The 7,718-nt window shown below is 45.0% G+C and overlaps 1 long non-coding RNA gene across 1 annotated transcript; it reads right to left on the bottom strand.

Moving 5' to 3' along the window:
- Nucleotides 1-799: 799 nt before the first annotated feature.
- Nucleotides 800-7,045, bottom strand: LOC124903446 (uncharacterized). The gene is made up of 2 exons (XR_007064532.1): nucleotides 6,003-7,045; nucleotides 800-1,836 (listed from the first exon to the last, which is right to left on the bottom strand). It is a non-coding gene; the product is annotated as an uncharacterized LOC124903446 (long non-coding RNA).
- Between the last annotated feature and the right edge of the window lie 673 nt (nucleotides 7,046-7,718).

The following is a 7,718-nucleotide window of genomic DNA, read 5'->3' as shown; positions in this document are numbered from 1 at the left end:
ATGTGTTGGGATTATAGACCTGAGACACTGTGCTGGGCCCCCTCTTTTTCTTTCAAAAAGAAGGGTCAGACTCTCCTCATTTCTCCCTGTGAGTGCTGCTGACTCGGCAGTCTGGCAGCCCTCTCTACACACTCCTGCATACACCCTCCTTTACTGTCTGTCTCCATCCCACCTTCACACTTTCCACTGAGCCGTGGGTGCTGACTACAGGAGGGGTGGGCAGTCCTTCCAGCCAAGCCTGGGTTTCTAACTTTGTGGCTACAAAACTCCAGAAGTTAACATGCTTAAAAAAAGAGAAGTTGTTTTTTTTTTAAACATGCTTAAAGAGAAGTTAACATGCTTAACAAAAAAAAAAAAGAAATTTTTTTTCTTTCTTTTTCTTTTTCTTTTTTTTTTAAAGAGACAGGGTCTCACTGTGTTGTCCATGCTGGTCTTGAACTTCTGGGCTCAAGTGATCCTCCCATCTCAGCTTACAGGTGTGACAGAGGCTCTTGATTGGGGAAATTGTCTTACAAATCGGAATCTGCATAACGTCCTGGGATTCCAGCGTGAGTGCTAAGGGTCCTCATTCCTCCCACCCTCCTACAAGGCCACTTAACACCAGGGCTCAGCTCTGCACTGAGGAGCTGACCCATCGTGGCAGGTACAGCAGTTAGGGGTAAAAAGAAAAAGAAAAAAATCCATGAACATCAGCCTTAGTGGCTTAGCAGATTTTTTAAGAGTGTGAAATTTATCTGTGTATTACTAGAGAGTGAAAACATCATTCACTTATTTAAAAAAAGAGAGGAGAAAACCAGAGTCCTATGAAAATGTCTTTAATTTTCATCTTTTGGAAATACATTTTTCATTTTTATTTCCACCATACAAAAATGTGAAATATCTAACAATGATCTATCTGAAGCGGGTGGAGTGAAGCGGCGCCATGAGTGTTTGTCGTTGCTGTGATCTGTTTCAACAGAGAATGGGCTGGGACATGTAGATTTGCACGATTTCACACACACACACACACACACAAACACACATACACACACACGCTGCCGTACCCCGAGACCGCCATCCAAACAGACTCTGGAAAGTGAACACAGCGCCACGCATAAGAACAGAAGTTAACCTTTTTACTCGTACATCCCCCATCAGAAACTCACGTCTTAGGAGAAAGGAACTCTACATAAATATGCCCAAAGGCCAGGGCATACGGCAAGCCCCCTCATGGGTGGGCGTGAGTGGACACCTTCCTGATGGAAGGACAAGCGTAAGAGCGTCATGTTTTCAGGCAGCTATGGTGGGAAGCAGGGAGGCACAACTGATTTCTCTCCACTGGGAGACTAACCGAGGGCTGCAACCGCCTCAAAATCTCAGCGCGAGAAGATGCACAGGCAGGAGAGTACACCCCCAATTCATGATCACGGCAGCCGGAACGTCAGCTCTTTTTGCAGATTTCACAGCCGACACTCCCCATCAGGCAGGTTCTTAAGCACAGTGGGTCATGACAGGAAAGGCCTCACACGAGCAACATGGAATTCACTGGTTAAGCACGTACACATTCATGACAGCCTACAACCCTGATGAGTGTCAACATCAACAGGCAGTTAGATTAAAAAGGGAAAAAAACACAGCCACAAAAATAAAACCTGTCTTTTCTTCCCCCCAGGAGACAACTTGGTTTCCAACCCCTCCCATACCACATTTGATTAAGTTAAATACAGTATGGCTTCCAAATGTGCCACCCGGCTCTTGCTCACAGAGACAGCACCAGCGGTTTGCTGCCCTCAGGTCTTGGTTACCATGTGTCGGGAACTTCAAAGAGCGTGGCAGGACTGTTCGTCCAGATGCTTCCTGGTGGGAAAGAATGAAACAATATGAACAGCAGGACGGCACCTTGAGGAGAGCATGACATGACCAGCAGAGAGACAGAGGGCCTGTGATGGCTGCAGACGGGGCCAGCGTCTGGCTAAACAGCTGTACTGGAAACAGTCCACAGACAGGTCTTGTCTAGGGAGGGCAGTGCCCAGCATGGGAAGGTGAAACCACAGAAACATCACGGGGGGGCGGAGGAAGCACCTCCCTGCCTCCAGCATCTATTTATTTCACAGGAGTTAAACTGTAGCCATGCACGGTATTCCTCACTGAGCACCATGCTGGATTCTTTGCTGGCAATACAGTGGGCATTTAACTCATATAATCTTCATTAAAAGCCCACCGAGGTGGTAACACTACCCCATTTTACAGATGCAAGAACAGATTGCGAGAAGTGGGGTAATATGACCAGATGCACAGAGCTAGCAAGTGGCTGAGATGGGGTTTGAATCCTCCCACAGCACCAAGATCCCTGCCAAAGTCCCCGGAAACTGAGTTTCTCTGTGCTGTGCTGTGGCTCTGCCCAGGTGAGAAATCTCAGGTGGGCAGCTGTAGGGCAGAGGGAAGCCAACCAGTGGGGGTTCCAATATCTCAACAGGGGCAAAAGAAGGTTGCAGCTTTTTCCAGCTTTGGCGAAGCTGGCTGGGTTCCTCTTCTTGGATTGAAAAGATCTCTTCAGTGACAAAGTTTCACCCCAGTGTCAGAAGCCCTTCATTTTTATTCATTCCACTTTCTACAATAGAAGCAGCCGCGGCCAGCAACTGAGCCGGGACTGGACTTCAATGAATGTGAGGGAAGTCAGGAAAGAGCATGTTCATAATGGAAAGTGTGGCCCGACCAGGCATCAGCTGCACAAGTGGTGCCATGCATTAAGTCATAAAGTAGGGCTGGCGGGGAAGACTGGCAGTCTCTCTTCTAGCTGCTAACACCAAGATTTTAGAAAGGGAGAGTAGTCTTTGATGATACCTCCAATGGCAAATAACTTTTAAATATGGAGGGGGTGCAGTGTCTTACAAACTAGGGAATCAGAGTGGTTATCATCAGTAACAGGGATGCCTAAAGATAACGAGGTCTAAACACAAGAAAAAAACATGAAGAGAATTTCAGCTAACATGAGAATTTCCACTTCTGATCATTTACTGTGATAAGATCCAAGGAGTTAGGATGAGGAGACCGGGAAAGGGTAACCGGAATCTTTCTGCCCTGGGTCTCATCGCTCTGAACAGACACGTTCTGGGACTCCCAGTAAAGATGGTGAGACCACTCCGGAGTAGTGAAGATGGGCAGGAGATGATCCACTGAAAAGGACTCAAGGGGTCCAGTGAAGTACTGCAAGAGGCCTGTGATAACCTGCAGCTAGCCTGGCCTTCCCAGTCACACACTGATACAATAAACACCTAACTGGATGAAAAGAAACATCCATTAAGGCCACTTTTATAATTCACATATGAAAGAAATATTGCAGTAGCCAATTAGCCATTCTAAAGGTAAAAGCTACAATGCCAAATGTGGGAAACTAAAGTAAATTAAATCCAGCTCAGAAGAAAAAGGAAGATAAATTGCTAAAAGCAACTGCACTGCAATACTTGTCATCTGCACCTGCCAATCTGCACCTGCCATTAGTTGGTGTGTGTGTGTGAGTGCACAGTGAGCCATCAGACACACAGGAAGTGGTTCCATGAAGAGCTAACAGGAAATAATGGCATAAGCAAAAAGTTCTGGAGTAAGGCAAGTCAAGTTGAACCATTTTACTAGCTGGATGACCTTGAACAGATCTCACTGCTTCATCTAAGATGGACCTAGTACTATTTTATGCTATATAGGACTTCTGTGACACAGCAAAGTTGCTGGGTAAGTTTTTAATGAATGCTAGGTCTCTTCCCCTTATCAATAAGCTGACCCAACATGGAACATGGCTGTTCCCCAGGAAGCCAACAGTCTATAATCAAAAAGATGCTAGTTTTCACTGTCTACCTGTGCAGCTGCTGAGCGAGAATGATGTGTACAGAGGGGCCAGAATCGTAGAAGCCATCTACAGGAGACCCAGACCAGAGGGGAAATGAAGGCCACTAACAGTGTTCTTTCCAGCATCTTCCAGAAAAGGAGAGCTGTAGATCAACAAAGGGCCAGTCTCAAAACGGGCGGATAAGAAGGTATGGTTTTTAAAAAGCAGCAGCTACGGTCAGCTTTCCACATAACTCATTTTCACAGCCCTGTTTTACTGGAGTGTAAGGAATCATTTAGGAACAACTTTTCTTTTTAAACAGACACTTGGCTGTGTGTGGTGGCTCATGCCTGTAATCCAGTACTTTAGGAGGCTGATAAGGGAAGGCTTGAGCCCAGGAGTTTGAGACCAGCCTGGGCAACACAGGGAGACCCTGCCTCTACAAAAAATTTAAAAATTTGTCAGGTGTGGTGGCACACACCTGTGGTCCCAGCTACCTAGGAGGCTGAGGCGGGAGGATCACTTGAGCCCAGGATATCAAGGCTGCAGTGAGCTGTGATAGTGCTACTGCATTCCAGCCTGGGTGGGTGACAGAGTGAAACTGTCTCAAAAAAAAAAAAGAGGGAGGGAGGGAAGGAAGGAGGGAGGGAAGGAAAGAAGAGAGGGAGGGAGGGAGGGAGATACTTAAGAACATCTGCCGCTTGCTACAGTGGACCTTAATCCATAGCTTGCATTATATACAAAGATTAACTTGAACTGTACATTTTAATTGTAAAACCTAAAACTGTAAAACTTCTGGAAGAAAACATAGAAGAAAATATTTGCAACTTAGAGTTACGCAAAGATTTTTTAGATATGACACCAAAGGTAAAATCCAAGGGGAAAAATCTGATAAACTGGACTTCATCAAAATTTAAAACTTCCACTCTTCAAAAGACACTGTTAAAATAATGAAAAGAGGCTGGCTGCAGTGGCTCACGCCTGTAATCCCAGCACTTTGGGAGGCTGAGGCCAGTGGATCACGAGGTCAGGTGTTCGAGACCAGCCTGGCCAACATGGTGAAACCCCATCTCTACTAAAAAAGTACAAAAATAAGCTGGGCATGGTGGCAGGCGCCTGTAATCCCAGCTACTCAGGAGGCTGAGGCAGGAGAATCGCTTGAACCCGGGAGGCGGAGGTTGCAGTGAGCCGAGATCGTGCCACTACACTCCAGCCTGGGCGACAGAGCAAGACTCTGTCTCAAAAACAACAACAACAACAACAAACCACCACCACCACCAACAACAAAATGAAAAGAAAAACCAATCTAGAAGAATATATTTGTAAAATGCTTAAAAGGACTTGTATCCAGAATCTATAAAGAACTCTCAAAATGCAGTCAGAAAATAAACAACCCTGGACAAAAGGGAAAAAATGAAAAGATATTTCGCCAAATAAGAAATCCGGATGGCAAAAAATCACAGGAAAAGATGCTTATTAGTCATTAGGGAAATAAAAACCAAAGCCACAATGAGATACCACTACATACCCATTAGAACTGCTGAACAAACAAGCAAAAGGGGTGTGTATCAATATCAAGTATTGGTGAAGGTGCAGAGTGAGCTGAAGCCTTGTATACTGCTGGGGGGAATCCAAAATGGTGATGCCACTTTGGAAAAGAGTGTATCAATTTCTTATGAAGTTAAATATACAGTTACCATATAACCCAGCAATCCCACTCCTGGATATTTACCCAAAGAAAATGAAAACTTAATTCATACAAAAACCTGTAAACAAATATTTATAGCAGCTTGATTCTTGATTGCCAAAAACTGGCAACAACCTAAATGTCCTTCCCCTGGGTGATGGATAAATAGTGATACCTGCATACAGTGGAATACCACTTAGCAGTAAAACGGAGTGAACTGAGGATACACGCACCACCACAAATCGCAAATGCATCATGCTAAATGAAAGAAGTTAAATGGAAGGCTCAAAAGGCTAACTATCACATGATTCCAGGTATATGACATTCTGGAAAAGACAAAATCGCAGGGACAGAAAGAAGACCAATGGCTGCTGGGATCTGTGTGGGGGTTGGGGGAAGGATCAACTCCAAAGGGGCATGAGGGAAATTTCTGGAGTGATGGAGTTCTATATCTTGATCATAGTGGTGGTTATATGACTGTACACAGATGTCAAAACTTATCAAATTGCATACCTGAAAGTGATGACCTTCATTGGGTACAATTATATCTTATTGAAGCTGACCTGGCAAAAGATATTAAAAACAATGTTTTAAAAGAAAACCAACAAAATTTTAATATGAAATACTATGCTTATGGTTAAGATTATTTGGCCAAGAGTTTCTAAAAGGGGAAAAGGCAGGATACAAGCTGCATACAGGGTATGAGGTTGGCCGCAGAGCAAGAATGCTTGTTACCACAGCATCGAGTGGGGGGCTGGGGGCTTAATTGTCTTCTACTTTTCTGCATTTTCCAAATTCTCATGCTGAATATGTTATTTTTATTAACCGAAACAACAAAAAATTAAAAGATGGGGAACACAAAAGGTGAATATTTCTACTTTTCTCCCCTTTACCTAACTGGAGTTTAAATGGAGAAACTTCAAGGGGTAAGGCATTGCTTTTTCCAGGTGAATCCCAAATGGAATCTAAGAAGCTGCACAGGACACTGGAAGCTTCCCATTGTATCCTTTTCCACAGAGTGGACATCTGTACACAGGAAGGTCCCTTGGGAAGCTGCACACAAGTTTCTAACTACGAAACGCTCAAGGGGGTATGCCCTGGGGCCAGTTTCCCACACTAAGAAGGTGAGCCCCCTCCCTGCAAGGCTGATGACATCCTGGAGTTGCCAGGAGGAACAGGCAGGGCACAAATGCGCACTGAGTGCTCTGCCTCTGCCTCACTGCACAGCAGCCCACACCTCCTTCGCCACGTTCACTGCAAACCACACTTGAACCTAGTAATTAAAAGGCTCCTTGGGAGGTCGCTGGGCTGCCTCAGCCTGGTCTCTCAGGTGACCGACAGCAGCAGCTGTAGATCTTGTTTCTGACTTTAAGGAGACCAGTAACAGCATGAGGAGACTGCTGCTCTAAGTAGGTTCTAAATTTTTATACTGTAACCCTCAGGGTTTCAGCTTGAAAAGTTCAGCAGGTTAGTCAAGACTCCAGTAAAACTCCAGGTTCTTTGGCAAACACTTAAAAGGCCTAACGTGTTGTTTTAAATGTTAGGGGAAAAAAGACTTTGAACAATGTCTCTATTTACAGGACAAAAAATAACCAGGAATAGTCAATGTATCTCCTTTGGGCATGCCTCTGTAAACACCGTGTAACCAAGGTGCTGACCTGCTGCTAGGGACCAGCCAGCAGTATTTTCAGAATGGTCAGCCCGGGCAGCATCATACCATCCATGCAGCCCTGAGATTCTCCAGAGAAGTGACGGGGTGGGCAGCATTTCTCCAGGCCCCAGGAACACATCAACAAGAACAAGTATGTGACAGAAATCCTTCAATTAAACATGACCTGGGAAAACAGCCACACTTCCTAAACACATTTTATTCCAGCATTAATGGCATGCAGAATAGTTTTCCTTTGCGTACCAACCGAGTATGTACCTAGAACTGCTCAGATGGAAAGTGGCTGGCACTACCAATCAACACAGTCATATCAACAGAAAAGGAGGGGACTTACGCTGTACATTCACCTCCTGAAAATAGGATCGAAACAACCACACTTAAGAGAAAAATATTTGCTGAGTACATAGTGTATACATAAACTAGAAGCCCTGAAGGAGAGTGGTTACTTGGCTTTCCCTCCCTCCCTCCCTCCTCTCTCTTTCTTTGTTTATTTCTTGAGACGGAGTCTTGGAGTCTTGCTCTGTCACCCAGGCTGGAGTGCAGTGGCGCCATCTGGGCTT

This window comes from Homo sapiens, chromosome 15, assembly GCF_000001405.40.
Source record: "Homo sapiens chromosome 15, GRCh38.p14 Primary Assembly".
Taxonomy (NCBI): domain Eukaryota; kingdom Metazoa; phylum Chordata; class Mammalia; order Primates; family Hominidae; genus Homo; species Homo sapiens.
Note: the sequence above shows the minus strand (reverse complement) of the source record. Positions and strands in the feature narration are given on the sequence as shown.